The sequence below is a fragment of the Homo sapiens genome, chromosome 4 (assembly GCF_000001405.40).
Source record: "Homo sapiens chromosome 4, GRCh38.p14 Primary Assembly".
Classification (NCBI taxonomy): domain Eukaryota; kingdom Metazoa; phylum Chordata; class Mammalia; order Primates; family Hominidae; genus Homo; species Homo sapiens.
This window is the reverse complement of record NC_000004.12, coordinates 56,612,508-56,627,950: the sequence shown is the minus strand read 5'-3', so window position 1 is coordinate 56,627,950 and position 15,443 is coordinate 56,612,508. Positions and strand designations below refer to the sequence as shown.

General features: G+C 44.0%; 1 protein-coding gene across 3 annotated transcripts in view, besides 1 other annotated feature; it reads right to left on the bottom strand.

Moving 5' to 3' along the window:
- Positions 1-1,736: 1,736 nt before the first annotated feature.
- The window catches only part of SPMAP2L (sperm microtubule associated protein 2 like), a 95,609-nt gene continuing 81,902 nt past the window's right edge, over positions 1,737-15,443 (bottom strand). The window contains exons 10-11 of one of the 3 annotated variants that reach the window (XM_011534357.2): positions 2,222-2,275; positions 1,737-2,121 (exon numbers count right to left, since the gene is read on the bottom strand). In XM_011534357.2, coding sequence (XP_011532659.1) covers positions 2,084-2,121; positions 2,222-2,275 — 92 coding nt within the window. In that variant the 3' untranslated portion in view covers positions 1,737-2,083. Of the gene's footprint in view, positions 2,122-2,221; positions 2,276-6,987; positions 7,032-11,430; positions 11,593-15,443 lie in introns of those variants that run through there. The other 2 variants (XR_941041.2, XM_011534361.3) reach the window with 2 other exon arrangements.
- Positions 8,648-8,737: a silencer, noted in NCBI's record as "silent region_15452". NCBI's record gives its function as "represses an Ori minimal core promoter by ATAC-STARR-seq in GM12878 lymphoblastoid cells {active_cell/tissue: GM12878}" and the evidence as "EXISTENCE:reporter gene assay evidence [ECO:0000049][PMID:35858748]".

The window sequence follows — 15,443 nt, the reverse complement described above, 5'->3', positions numbered from 1 at the left end:
GGGGATATTAAAAAGTCTGATAAATTGATCCAAATTCCACAAATATGGACTAAATGCAGTTTCATTTCAGTACAGTAAACACTGCCAGAGTGGCTACAAGGTGGCAGACACAGGGCTGGTCACTGGGGTCCAGAGACGAATGAGGCCTTGACCCTGCTCTCACTAGATGGGTTCACTTAGCATCCAGCTCTGGAATTTAAGCAGATCTCCCAGGGGGCATGTATGTCCGTCTTATACAGTACAATTAATTACTCTCCAAGTCTGCATGCACCTTCAGAACTGAACTCAGGTTAAGGATCAAGCAGAAGCTCAGATGTGGTTTGAATAAGGATGTTGGCCTTCCATGGTTAAAGGTGTAAAACCAGATGTATATAAGCTCACCCTGTGATGAGACATCCCTGCAGAGCCTCCTTAGCTGGTTTTCATCACATTTTGAGATCAGGACACCTTAGAGTCACTTACTCAGGAGGTGGAGAGGGAAAGGCTACCTCCTCCTGCCAATTGCTGCACTTTTCATTCCCAGTGGGTAACAGAAGGCTGGGCACCCAAACATATTATCTAGGCCCAGCTGTGAGGCTAAGATGACATATTGTCCTCTCTGTATATAGGAAATGCTAGAGGACTAGAAAGGCTGACAATAAGACTGTTAAGGACTTTGAAAAGATTTAGAGCTGCAAGGAACTGTGGAGAACATTTGAGTCCTGAGCAGTGGAAGCAAGAGGGGAGTGGTGAACAGAATGGCCACTGGAGCAAAGAGCTTGTTGTCATTGTCCTTCTTCTCCATGGGTATGGTGCCTCCCAGCGGTGGGCCACCCACCTGGGCCCTGGGGCTCCAGCCCACATGAAAAAACCTGGAGCCAAATACTGCCATTGCGGCCTCCCTGCTTAGTTGAGTAGAGATTGAATAAAGGTTTCATCAGACAACTCACAAAAAAGAAAGTCAATGGGCTCACACAATCCCCTTTCCACAGAAACAGGGCCTATCTTGGACAAAATTATAAATTCTGGACTGGTTTCTGAGGTCTTTTTGTAACCATCCAATGGGTTCATCTTGCTGGCTGCCCAGACAGAGCCAATTTATTGGGACAGAAATTGCAACAGAGAAAGAGTTTAATACATGTAGAGCCAGCTAACCAGAAGGCTGGAGATTTATTATTACTCAAATCAGCCTCCTTGAAAATTTGGAGGCTAGGATTTTTTAAAGATAGTTTGGTGGTGGGGGCTAGGGAATGGGTGCTGCTGATTGGTTGGGGATGCACTCATAGGGTGTGGAAATAGTCCTTCTGCCCTGAGTCCGCTTTTGGGGAGGAGCCACAGGACTAGTTGAGTCATGAGTGGACTCATCAGGTTGTGAGAAATGGAAAAGTCAGAAAAGACAACTCAAAAAGCAAATCTTATGTTCTACAATACTGATGTCATTTACAGGAGTAATTGGGGAAGTTACAAATCTTGTAACCTCTGGAACAATGGCAGGTTATCATTTAACTATGCATACATCTTAGCAGAATTCAAGCCCCTCTTGTAATCCTAACTTTGCAGACTTTAGTTTAGTTTTGGGAAGGGCTATTATTATCCTTGCTTTAAGGTTACACTATAAGCTAAATTTCTCCAAAAATTAGCTTGGCCCATGCCCAGGAATGACCAAGGACAGTTTGGAGGTTAAGGCCAAGATGGACTTGGTTAGGTCAGATCTCTTTTACTGTCATGTTTTTCTGTTATAATTTTTACAAAGGCAATTTCACTTTCATATTTTATTTCTCATCCCAGTCACCCATGGGAGGCTATGGCCTTTTCTTTTCCTTATCTTCATCTTCTTCCATTGAAACTTATCTGTCCTATGTCTCATTCCTTCAGTTTCCTCTCAGCTGAACTGTGTTGAGAGGTATCCAATGTCTCCAAAGGTGACCACATATGTGATGGTTGGCATCGGCTGGGAAGGGAAGTCTTACCACTTAGCAGCAGGGACCAGTGTGGCCAACCCACAGGGTAGCCACAGGGCTTTCTTGAAAGCTTCTTGGAGAAACCCTGGAGATTGTCTGGGAAACACACCTTCTGACTTCACTCTGTTGAGAAATAACTCCGGCTATCTGGAAGCTGAAATTTTACTAGGGGAGATAAGAACTACATACAAATAAAATACATGGCCTGTATTAGTCCGTTTTCATGCTGCTGATAAAGATATACTGAAATTGGGAAGAAAAGGAGGTTTAATTTGACTTACATTTCCACATGGCTGGGGAGGCCTCAGAATCATGGCGGGAGGTGAAAGGCACTTCTTACATGGCAGCAGCAAGAGGAAGATGAGGAAAAAGCAAAAGTGGAAACCCCTGATAAACCCATCAGATCTTGTGACACTTATTCACTATCATGAGAATAGCACGGGAAAGACTGGCCCCCATGATTCAATTACCTCCCCCTGGATCCTCCCATAACCTGTGGGAATTCTGGGAGATACAATTCAAGTTGAGATTTGGGTGGGAACATAGCCAAACCATATCATTCCGCCCCTGGCCCCTCCAAATCTCATGTGCTCACATTTCAAAACCAATCATGCCTTCCCAACAGTCCCCCAAAGTCTTAACTCATTTCAGCATTAACCCAAAGTGCACAGTACAAAGTCTCATTTGAAACAAGGCAAATCCCTTCCTCCTATGAGCCTGTAAAATCAAAAGCAAGCTAGTTACTTCCTAGATACAATGGGAGTACAGGTATTGTGTACATACAGTCATGCCAAATGGGAGAAATTGGCCAAACCAAAGGGGTAGCAGGCCCCATATAAGTCTGAAACCCAGCAGGGCAGTCAAATTTTAAAGATCCTAAATGATCTCCTTTGACTCCAGGTCTCACATCCAGGTCACCCACAAGAGATGGGTTCCCATGGTCTTGAGCAGCTGTACCCCTGTGGCTTTGCAGGGTAGAGCCTCCCTCCTGGCTGCTTTCACAGGCTTGCATTGAATGTCTGCAGCTTTTCCAGGTGCACAGTACAAGCTGTTGGTGGATCTACCATTCTGGGGTCTGGAGGACAGTGACCCTCTTCTCTCAGCTCCACTAGGCAGTGCCCCAGTAGGGACTCTGTGTGGGGGCTCTGACCCCACATTTCCCTTCCACACTGCCCTAGAAGAGGTTCTCCATGAGGGCCCCGCCCTGCAGCAAACTTTTGCCTGGACATCCAAGTATTTCCATACATCTTCTGAAATCTAAGTGGAGGTTCCCAAACCTCAATTCTTGACTTCTGTGCACCCGCAGGCTCAACACCAAGTGGAAGCTGCCAAGGCTTGAAGCTTCCACCCTCTGAAGCCACAGCTCGAGCTCTGTGTTGGCCCTTTTCAGCCAAGGCTGGAGCAGATGGGACACAGAGCACCAAGTCCCTAGGCTGAACATAGCATGGGGACCCTGGGCCTGGCCCACAAAACCACTTTTTCCTCCTAGGCCTCCAGGCCTGTGATGGGAGGGGCTGCCATGAAGGTCCCTGAAATGGCCTGGAGACATTTTCCCCATGGTCTTGGGGATTAACATTAGGATCCTTGCTAGTTATGCAAATTTCTGCAGCTGGCTTGAATTTCTCCTCAAAAAATGGGCTTTTCTTTTCTACTGCATCATAGGCTGCAAATTTTTGAAACCCTCATGTTCTTTTTTTCCCTTTTAAAACAGAATGCTTTTAACAGCACCCAAGTCAACTTTTGAATGCTTTGCTGCTTAGAAATTTCTTCTGCCAGATGCTCTAAATCATCTCTCTCAAGTTCAAATTTCCACAAATCTCTAAGGCAGGAGCAAAATGCTGCCAGTCTCTTTGCTAAAACATAACAAGAGTCGCCTTTGCTCCAGTTCCCAACAAGTTCCTCATCTCCATCTGAGACAACTTCAGCCTGGATTTCATTGTCCATATCATTATCGATTTTTTGTCAAAGCCATTCAACAAGTCTCTAGGAAGTCCAAACTTTCCCACATTTTCCTGGCTTCTTCTGAGCCCTCCAAACTGTTCCAGCCTCTGCCTGTTACCCAGTTCCAAAGTTTCTTCCACATTTTTGGGTATCGTTTCAGCAGTGCCCCACTCTACTGGTACCAATTTACTGTATTAGTCTGTTTTCATGCTGCTGATAAAAACATACATGAAACTGGGAAGAAAAAGAGGTTTAATTGGACTTACAGTTCCACATGAGTGGGGAGGCCTCAGAATCATGGTGGGAGGTGAAAGGCACTTCTTACATGGCAGTGGCAAGAGAAAAAATGAGGAGGAAGGAAAAGTGGAGACCCCCAATAAACCCATCAGATCTCTTGAGACTTATAGACTATCATGATAATAGCATAGGAAAGACCAGCCCCCATGATTCCGTTACCTCCTTCTCAGTCCCTCCCACAACACATTGGAATTCTGGGAGAATTCAAGTTGAGATTTGAGTGGGGACACAGCCAAACCATATCATGGCCAAATAATACTTTGAAATGTGGATTTCTTTCTTTTTCTCTCTCTAGGGCTCCTCTCCCTTCCTTAGAGAAGGCTCTTGGCCTCATTGCCTTGGGGAAGGAATGTAGCAAGGGAGAACACAGATAAAGCTTGAAAGTGTTTTTTTGCTCCTTGTTCCAAAAGCTTACACCCTTAGGGAATCCAAGAGGTGGGGCATTGTGGAGGAGATTAAAGAAAAAGAAGCTGTGTCATCCCCAGACTGGAAAGAGTTTTCCATGGGTGGGGGTAAAAAGAAAAAAGGAGAGGCTGTGGGTTCTAGGAGCAGAAAGGATCATGCCTGGCTTTGCAACATGGTCACTATTTAGGAAAGAAAGCCCTAGAGAGAAAATGGCTATGTCTAAGTAGAAAGAATTAAAGGAGCCTCATCAAAGGCTCCTGCATCCTGGGCAGGCTAGAAAGGCAGCAGGAAGCTGGAGGACCCAAAGGGAACATATGGAGGAAAAGAACACATCCTAGCAGTAACCCGTGTGGACCAGGGCCCAGAGGACCATCCCAATCTGCCTTCCCTCCCATTATCCCCTAACCCCAGCCCTCCAGCCCCACCACTCAACATCTTAGCACCTGAAAATTCAGAAAGGTGCGAGACTGTTTTTCCACCAGCCGAGTTGGGGGTAAAAAGGCTCAAAGTCAGAAAGCAAGCTGAGTTATGGAGAATAAAGTCATGCTTTTCATACACCTGAGTTTATGGCCATGATTCAAGGCAGAGAAGGCAGTGTGCGGCATGAGGGAGAAGGATGTAGGTGGCTCTTGGGCTGGAGGAGGTTGGAGTCTGATTGTGGAGAGCCAGTTTGAGTTCTCCTGGATTAGCCAAACTCCCACCACAGAGAGGGAGTTGAAGACTTGGTTCTCTGCCTGAGCAAAACCTGTATGTTCTCAGAACAAAATGAAATGTGTTATTGCTGATCAACAAGATACTAACAATAAAGCACTTTGTTAAACACCTTCATATATGTTTGTTAATATGGTGAATCCTGTAGTGAGAATTGCTAAGATACAGTGTTTACTTAATAAATAAGCCTAGGGAGATTTGGAACTTTGCCTATAAAGAGTGAAATAGATTCATCTGGATAGATTTAATGTTCATGACAGTCAACCAAATGAGAAAGTTTATTTTGGCAATGGGTGCGAGGTATTTTTATTGCTCTCATTTAGTTCTTATTCCTTATTGCCTTTGCAAAATAAATAATGCTGCTTCATGCAAAATAAACTTCAAGCATGTTTTAACCTGATTTGTGTGGATGAGTCAAGATTTCCCCAAGAATCTATCCTGCAGCAGTCTCTTCTTCCACTAATTTATTTTTGTAAAAAAATTAATAGGCTTTCTTTTCTTTTTTAGCATTTTAGGTTTACAGAAAAATTTAGCAAAAAATATAGAATTCCCATATATACCTCTGCTCCCTACCCTGTCCCCCAATTTCTCTTATTAACATCTTGCATTAGTGTGGTACAATTGTTAAAAACTTGATGAGCCAATATTGATCATTATTATTAACTAAAGTCCATAGTTTACATTAGGGTCCACTCGTTGTGGTGTATATTCTATGGGTTTGAATAAATGTATGATGGCATGTTTCTACCATTACAATATCACACAGAGTAATTTCACCGCCCTAAAAATCCTCTGTGCTCCACCTATTCATTCTCTCTCCCTTTCCTTTTCCAGCCCTGGCAGCCACTCCAATTTGCTTTTATTAATCACACAAACAACTATACAGCAAATGAAATGAGAATCCAGTGAATACACATTTACATTGTATATCTAACCTTTTACATCAGTTCACATTGTCTCTATCTTTATCAGTAGGCAAGTTTATATTTTTCCATAGCTATAATAACTGTGCATATTATTTTCAATTCTAATTGTGTTCAATCAGCATCACTTCATAGATCTATTCCTATGTACAAGCAGATTCCACACACATATCATCTTTTATCTTGCCATAATGTCTAAGGATGAATTACCTTATGCTTGCTATGATTTTTCAGGATAAACTACCTGCCCTACAGTTATGAGATGTTTGCTCAAGTTCTAGCTCTTCAACATAAACAACTGGCATTGCCATACAATTTGATTCTTGTGAACTAAATGGTGTCATACAGAGAGGGTCATTTTTCTTCAAAGAACAAGTTTTTGGAGATCTCTCATAATTCAAGATTCATTTTTCCATAGGAATAAATAAAGAGTATGAGAGATGAATTCTGGGAGTACAAAAACCTATCACTATTGGAGCACATTTTTGCTTTCATGTTGCTTTTCATTTTTTAGCACTATTTTTAATTTTTCCTATAGTCTCCTAAATTAATAGGCAGTCTCCTAAATTAATAGTACAGTAATAATTTGCCTTATTCATACCATTTTCTCCTATCTAAATTTTATGCTGGACTTTCTGATTTATAGTTGCGTTTTTTTTCCGTCCAGTTTTAGCAACATCATCACTTGAATGACATTTTTATAAGATTTGTAAAATCTTTCAAATTATAGTAACAGTCAATATTAGAATAACAATCTAATAAATACTAACCTCACTCACAGAATTTCAGATGTCTTTGAACAACCATGGTTCTCCTGACATGGAGAATGAAGAGGATTACAGTTTGCTAACTGAAGGGGCACTCTCAGATGCTAGGCAGCAATTGAGAACAGTTTACAAGTCACTTCCTTACAGTGAGACTTAAAATTTTTATATCATGCTGCATTACATTACTTTAAATAGAGTATTTAAACTATTTCCACAGCAGAATGCATGCAGCCTTCAGCTGGCCCTGCTGAATTGCATGCACCTTAAAAACAACTAGAAGGATGTCGGGCGCGGTGGCTCACGCCTGTAATCCCAGCACTTTGGGAGGCCGAGGCGGGCAGATCACCTGAGGTTGGGAGTTCGAGGCCAGCCTGACCAACATGGAGAAACCCCGTCTCTACTAAAAACACAAAATTAGCTGGACATGATGGCGCATGCCTGTAATCCCAGCTACTCGGGCAGTGAGGCAGGAGAATCGCTTGAACCCAGGAGGCGGAGGTTGCGGTGAGCTGAGATCGCGCTGTTGCACTTCCAGCCTGGGCAACAAGAACAAAATTCCGTCTCAAAAAAAAAAAAAAAACTAGAAGGCTATTTTGTTTCCTTTAGGCTGCAACTCACTTTTTATCTTATCATCCAAATAAACCAAAAATCTCTTTTGGAACATAAGCTTGGGGTTTTCTTTTCTTTCAGCATAAAAAATTCCCAAGGAGCTGGACAACAGTAACTCATTTAGAGAGGTTTCATTCTGGCTGTGCAAGCCCCAGTCTGATTCTTGGGTCCTGACTTTCCTTTCCTTGTGAAGTGACTGCAGATTGTAGGCAAGGCTGTGGCCCTGGTCTAGCATTTCCCATGCAGGATTTACAGCCTCGCTGCTGAAGGGATGCCCAGTGAGAGACTTTGAAACAGCTTGTTTAGGTAAGTGTAGATGCATCCAAGTCCCAGCCAGCCAGCCTTAGCTGTGACTCTGCAGTGCCTGGTAGAGCTGCCTATGACATTCCTCAAGTCAGCCCTGCAGACCATCCTACAACAGCCACTCCATGGAGATCAGAGCTATATAAGCTAGTTTTTTTCTGTTTTTGTTTTTGTTTTTGTTTTTTTAGTATTGAGTTGTAGGAGTTCCTTATATATATTGGGGTTTAACCCCTTATCAAATAGTTTGCAAATATTTTCTCCCACTTCACGGATTGCCTTTTCACTCTGCTGATTTTCTTTACTCTGCAGAAGCTTTTTAGTTCATTGTAGTTTCACTTACTTATTTTTTAGTTTTGTTGCCTATGCTTTTGACGTTATATTGTGAAGATGTGGAAACAGCCTAAATGTTCATCTGCAGATGAACAAATAAATAAAAATGTGGTATATATACACAACAGAATATCCTTCAGCCTTAACAAAGAAGGAAATCCTGCCTCATGCGACAATATGGACTAAGCTTAAGGACATTGTGCTGAGTGAAATAAGCCAGTCACAGAAAGACAAGTACTGTATGATTCCACTTACATGAGGTATCTAAAACAGTCAAATTCATAGAATCAAAGAGTGGAATGGTAGTTGCCAGCCACTGGGGGGAGGAGAAATGGAACGGTACTAACAACAGGCATCAAGTTTCAGTAAAGCCAGATGAATAAGCTCTAGAAATCTGCCACATTGTACCTATACAGTAGTTCCTCCTTAACTGCAGTTTTGCTTTTAGAGGTTTCAGTTACCCAAGGTCAATCACAGTCTGAAAATAGGTGAGTAGGGTACAATGCAATATTTTGACACAGAGAGAGAAACCACATTTACATAACTTTTATTGCAGTATATTATCACAATTATTCTATTTTATTACTAGCTATCATTGTTCATCTCTTACAGTGCCTAATTTATAAATTAAACTTTATCATAGGCATGGTGTCCTAATTAGGGAAAAGGAGTCAGGCTTGTAGGACCAGGGGAAAGCAAAGAGATAAAGCAAATAAGCCATATGTCTGCCTTTCTTCATGGTCCAGAACATATAAACAAAAACAGGAAGCAGATAAGCTACAGGGCTGCTTTTCTTTATGGCCCAGGACATATGGCCCTCCTGCACAGATAACGTACAGAACTCCCAAACTTCCTGTTTATCATCAAATGATTCAATTTTTCAAACACCCCGGCTGGCAGAAGAATGCAAGTTAAGCTCCGTGCTGCTTTGGCATTATCAATCAGCCCAAGTTCCGTTCTATAAAATCCTCAGCAAGCCTTTTGACATGGTTTGGCTGTGTCCCCACCCAAATCTCATCTTGAACTGTAGTTCCCATAATCCCCCTGTGTGGTGGGAGGGACCAAGTGGGAGGTAATTGAATCATGGGGGCGGTAACCTTCATGCTGTTCTTGTGATAGTGAGTGAGTTCTCACGAGATCTGATGGTTATATGAGGGGCTTTTCTTTTTTTGCTTGGCACTTCTGGGTTCTGCCACACCGTAAAGGACATTTGCTTCCCCTTCTGCCATGATTGTAAGTTTCCTGAGGCCTCCCCAGCCCTGAAGAACTGAGTCAATTAAACCTCTTTCCTTCATAAATTATTCAGTCTTGGGTATGTCTTCATTAGCAGCGTGAGAAATAACTAATACACCTTTGTTTCCTTGCAGTCCGCTCCTTTTGTGCTGGTTCTGCCTGCTGCCTCCTGGCAATGTATTTTCATACTTTCTCTAATAAACCTGCCTTTCTTATTTACAACTGTCTTGGTAAACTCTTTTATCCCCTACTGATATGGGAGTGCTGGGAAGGGAAGAGAGTGGTCCCTTTAAATGATATGAAAGTGGAAAAGGGAAATGCTGGGTAGAGGAGGGTGTGATCACTGGCCAGGGCTCTACCCTCATGGACCTAGGTGAGGACAGGCACATCTGCCTTCCCACCCAAATGTTGCATCTTCCAAGACCACCCTGGCCATGTAAAAGCCCGAGACCCTAGCAAGGCAGAGACACAAGCGGCTGGATGTTGTGAGCAACAAGGCAGAAGAAGACATAAGCGGCTGGTTGTGGAGAGCACACTGGTGGAAGAGCACGCCAACAAGCACTGGCAAGCCATTGACCAGCAGAAGGACGCAGAATTTGGACGGAGCAGTCAGAGGCGACCTGACTCCAGGGGAAAACCATCTCCCTTCTGGCTCCCCCATCTGCTGAGAGCTACTTCCACTCAATAAAACTTTGAGTTCATTCTCCAAGCCCACGTGTGATCAGATTCTTCTGGTACACCAAGGCAAGAACCCTGGGATACAAAAATCCCTCTGTCCTTGTGATAAGGAAGGGGGTCTAAATGAGCTCGTTAACACAAGCCGCCTATGTTGTCCGGACAACTAAACAAAAAGAGCACCCTGTAACACATGCCCACTGGGTCTTCAGCTGTAAACGGCACCCCTAGACACTGCCGTGGGGTCAGAGCCCAACACCCTGCCCATCTGTATGCTCCCCTAGAGGTTTGAGCAGTGGGGCACTGAAGAAGGGAGCCACACCCCCAATGCATGCCCTATAAGGGGGAAAAGAGGCCCTTTCCCCTTTCACTACCACCGGCTCAGGTAGTCCTTGCCACCCCACAACAATAGGTAGGTAGGTAGTAGGAAAAAACATAATACAGTCATGTGCTGCACAACGACATTTTGGTCAATAATAGACCAAGTATATGACAGTGGTCCCATTAGATTATAATATTGTATTTCTACAGTGCCTTTTCTATGTTTAGCTACACAAATACTTACCATTGTGTTAAAATTGCCTACAGTATCCAGTACAGTAACAAAATTCAGTACAGTAACTACACAGGTTTGTAGCTGAGGAGCAACAGGCTGTACCACCTAGGTTTGCGCAAGTACACTCTATGATGTTCACAGAATGACAAAATCACCTAGTGACACATTTCTCAGAGCATATCCCTGTCATCAAGTGACACATGATGTATACATAGGGTTCCGTACTATTCGAGGTTTCAGGCTCCCCTCAGGGTCTTGGAAGGTATCCCCTGTGGACAAGCAGGGACTACTAAAATTAGCAATAATATATTGTATACCTACAAAATCTGTTAAGGGGGTAGATCTCTTGTTTAGTGTTCTTACCACAATAAATAAAATAAAATAAATAACTATGTAGATTAACAAAGGAACATGAACACAGGAAAATACAGACACCTTGCACTAAACATCTGAGTTGGCAGATGAAGGCTAATAAAGGAAGATCTTAAAAAAGGAATGACTCCCACACCTTGGAATTATTCAGCAGAGAGTCTGAAGTTAGAAAGCCCCCGTGTGCTTCTTGTGTGAAAAGTCCTCACTACGGTCTACAGCCCTGGCTATTTCTCTGACTGCCATCTGTCACTGACCACTAGCTCACTTTGCTCCAGAGGGAAATGGAAAGAGAACTCAAGGATTTTGTCAATATTAAAGGGACATATAAAAGAAGCCATACAAGATCATACCTCTTATAAATTACTTACTTGGTGAACCCACAATGGTTCTTTGATACTTGCTACTCAAGGTGGTGGGGTCCACATGCCCAGCAAGCAGCCTCTTAGGAGCTGACTTGTGTCTCCACAAAATTCATGTGTTGAAGTCTTAACCCCCAGTACCTCAGAACGTGACTGCATTTGGAGATAGGGCTTTTAAAGAAATAACTGAGTTAAAATGAGGTCATTAGATGAGCCCTAATTCAATATGATTGATGTCCTTTAGAGAAGAGGAAATTTAGACACAGATGCACTAGCAGAAGGAAGACTAAATAAAGACACAGAGATTGCCAAGGACAGAGATCTCAGAAGAAAACAACCCCACCGACACCTTGATCTCAGACTTGCAGCCTCCAGAGCTGTGAGGTCATAAATGTCTGTTGTTTAAGCCACCTGGACTATGACACTTTATGTTGGCAGCCCTAGCAAACTAATCCATGGTGCTAGCATCACCTGGGAGCTCCTTAGAAATGCTCACTCTCAAGCCCCAATTCAGATCTACTAAATCTCCAGGAGATGAAACCCCAGAACTTGTGTTTTAACAAGTCCTTTGAGTGATTCTTGTGCAGCTAAATTTTGAGCAGCACCCATCCGAGTGGCGGTTCTTGGCGGCACATTAGGGTCACCTGGGCAACTTTTGAAATGAGCCTCACCTTGAGATTTTGATTCACTTGGTCAAGGGTTGCCTGGTCAGGGGTTGTAAGGGTGGACTAGGCTTAAGTATTTATTTTGTTTGTTTGTTTGTTTGTTTGTTTGTTTGTTTTGAGATACAGTCTCACTTTCTAGCCTAGTCTGGAGTGCAGTGGCGCAATCTCACCTCACTGCAACCTCTGCCTTCTGGGTCCAAGCAATTCTCCTGCCTCAGCCTCTCCAGTAGCTGGGATTACGGGCACTCGCCACCATGCCCAGCTAATTTTTGTATTTTTTAGTAGAGACGGGGTTTCGCCATGTTGACCAGGCCGGTCTTGAACTCCTGACCTTAGGTGATCCACCCGCCTCGGCCTCCCAAAGTGCTGGGATTACAGGCGTGTCCCACTGTGCCCAGCCAACTTAAGTATTTTTTAAAGCTCCTCTGTTGACTGTAAGGTGCAGACAGGGTTGACATACCCTGATTTAGTGCCTGCGGGCATAGCGTAGAAACCTACAGAAGAGATGACTGATCGCAGGTACTTTGGGGTAAAGTGAGGCAGTTTACTACCTCTCTAGCCTAATGAGCTTCTTTAGTAATGTGTGCCTTCAAGAACAAACTGGATATTTTTCTCTAGAGGTAATGAAGCATTCTTCCTCCACCTGCAAATCCTCAGCTTCCTTCTGTGACTTGGGAAGCACCAACGCTGAGGAGGTAAAGGCATTGTCACAAATCAGAGCAGCCTGACCCACCAGATTGGGAGAGGAATTTAGGAATTCTGGATCTGGCACTGCTGTCCTTTTGCCTCATGTGGAACTGGGCATGTGCAATGCCCCTCTCAAATAGCATAAGGATGTATTGTGCTATTTCTCCTAAGGGGTTAGTAAAGCTTATATTCTAAGCTTCTGGGGCTCCTCATTTAGGATTTTATAAACATCCATGCTGAGGTGTAAATGCCTGATAAGGATTAATAAGGTACCTTTTCTGCCTGTGTTTGCATTTTAAAAAGAGATAAACCTCTAGGTGGTGGGGAAACAACTCTGGAGGTGGAATTTTTATGTGTTAGCAAACTGGCAAGTGAGATAGGGTTTTGACAGAAAAATAAAAATAGCAATAACAATCATTGAGTATATACCCTGTGCCATGCCTGTACTCAGAAGTGTTTCATCCATTGTCTCGCTTAATCTTCACAAGCATGCTGGAGGCAAGATCAGAGAAAACTTTTTTTTTTTAGACGGATCTCGCTCTGTCGCCCAGGCTGGAGTTCAGTGGCACGATCTCAGCTCACTGCAACCTCTGCCTCCTGGGTTCAAGCTGTTCTCCTGCCTCAGCCTCTGGGGCAGCTGGGATTACAGTTGTGTGCCACCACTCCTAGTTAAATTTTGTATTTTAGTAGAGATGAGGTTTCACCATGTTGGCCAGGCTGGTCTTGAACTCCTGACCTCAAGTGATCCACCCGGCTTGGCCTCTCAAAGTGCTGGGATTACAGATGTGAGCCACCACACCCGGCCAAGATCAGAGAACTCAAAACTTACCCCATCCACCTCACAGTGTACTATGTACATGAACATGACTTATATTTTTCCACAGTCTTCACTACTTTAGGAAACTCTTCTCCAGGATTATGAAGCTGCAAATAACCTTTATTGTTACTATCCTGAAAGTATTCCACTAGTCTCATCAACTTTCCAAGGCTCTGTTGGAAATCCTTTCCTTATAGAGTCTATCAATCCCTTGCCCAATCCTATTCAAGCTCTCCCAATGAAAGACCAGTCCTAGACCGGACCCCTCGAATTCTTATAAATATCCTACATGGCCCTCCCCTTGACTAAAAGCTACCAGGACTCCACTGAGACAGCGAGAGCCCTCTTACCTCAGTAAGCTATAAACTCAGCTTTGCTTTGTCCACAGCCTATGTGGTGGTGCCTTGAGGAGCCAGCACTGACAGCGCTATTCGTCTTTCCATTTTACAGGTGAGAAAATTGAAGCCTAGAGAGGTTAGCTAATTTATCCAAATACACAGATCAAGTGGTAGGTCCTGCATTCAAATCCTTTCTTATTTCAGAATGTACAATTCTAGTCACATGTCTACACTACCTTCCCTGAACATCTGAAATCATATGATGCAGTCACTTGTTCTTTCCCCATCAGTAGTCAACTATGTGGTAATAATCCCAGAGAAGCTGGAATTTGAAATGGCTGCCTGACTCAGGCCATGTTTTAAGTTTCCTGAAGCCAGGAGCATGGTGTTTTCCAATGATCCAAGCTCTGGGACATTCCTGACTACTGAGATCATTACACAAAAAGAGGTTTGCTAGTTGAGGTCTGTTATTGCTTTTCTTTGATGTCCGCCTGCCTGAGTCGCAGCCATCCTTGCCTTTCCACAGAGCAGCTGCCCACCCACCACCATTATGTCCCTGGTATCTGCAGGGGGCAACATTGAAGTCTACAGCTTCTTTCTGCTCCCCACCATACCAAGCCACCTTTCTCCATACCCAGCCTGATGCCTGCCCTGTCTTGCAATCCTACCCAGGGTGCCCAGCATCCTGGAAGTCCTAGCAGACCACACCTTGGTAATAGAGAGTAGGCAGGCAGGCAGACGCATGCAGCTGGTGGGTAGGGAAGGCACCTGGCAACCCCTCCCAGATGGAAAACAAAAAGCAACGCAAACTATAACAGAATATGTGTCTTCAGGCTCCCTCCCCTTACTGCCCGTAACATGTCTCTGCTACCAAGGGTGGCCATGGGCCAGCACCTCCTCAGACAGGCCCTTAGGAAGTAAAACCCTCTGGGAAGAAGGGGAAGAGTTATATAAGGGAGAACAAAGGCTAACCACTGAAGACAGCTTGGGACCCTTATGGGCCTGGCTGTGATGAGATGGAGCAGGGACTCCGCTTAGAGGTTTGCTGGGCACCCCAAGCATGGAAATAAAGGAAAGATTTTGAATCCCTTCAAAATGCCTGGGAAATTCCAGGCACTTAGCTAGGCCCTGCAACCAGCAATTAAAAAGGTTAGCAGGCCGGGCGTGGGGGCTCACTCCTGTAATCCCAGCACTTTGGGAGGCCGAGGTGGGCAGATCACTTGAGGTCAGGAGTTCGAGACCAGCCTGGCCAACATGCTGAAACCCCATCTCTACTAAAAATACAAAAATTAGCCGGGCGTGGAGGCACGCACCTGTAGCCCAGCTACTTGGGAGGCTGAGGTAGGAGAGTCGCTTGAACCCGGGCGGTGGAGATTGCAGTGAGCTGAGATCGCGCCACTGCAATCCAGCCTGGGTGACAGAGTGAGACTGTCTTGAAAAAAAAAAAGTAAACAATTCAGTAAGCAAGAAGATAATAATAACAACCTGGCCACCAGGGTGAAACCCTATCTCTAT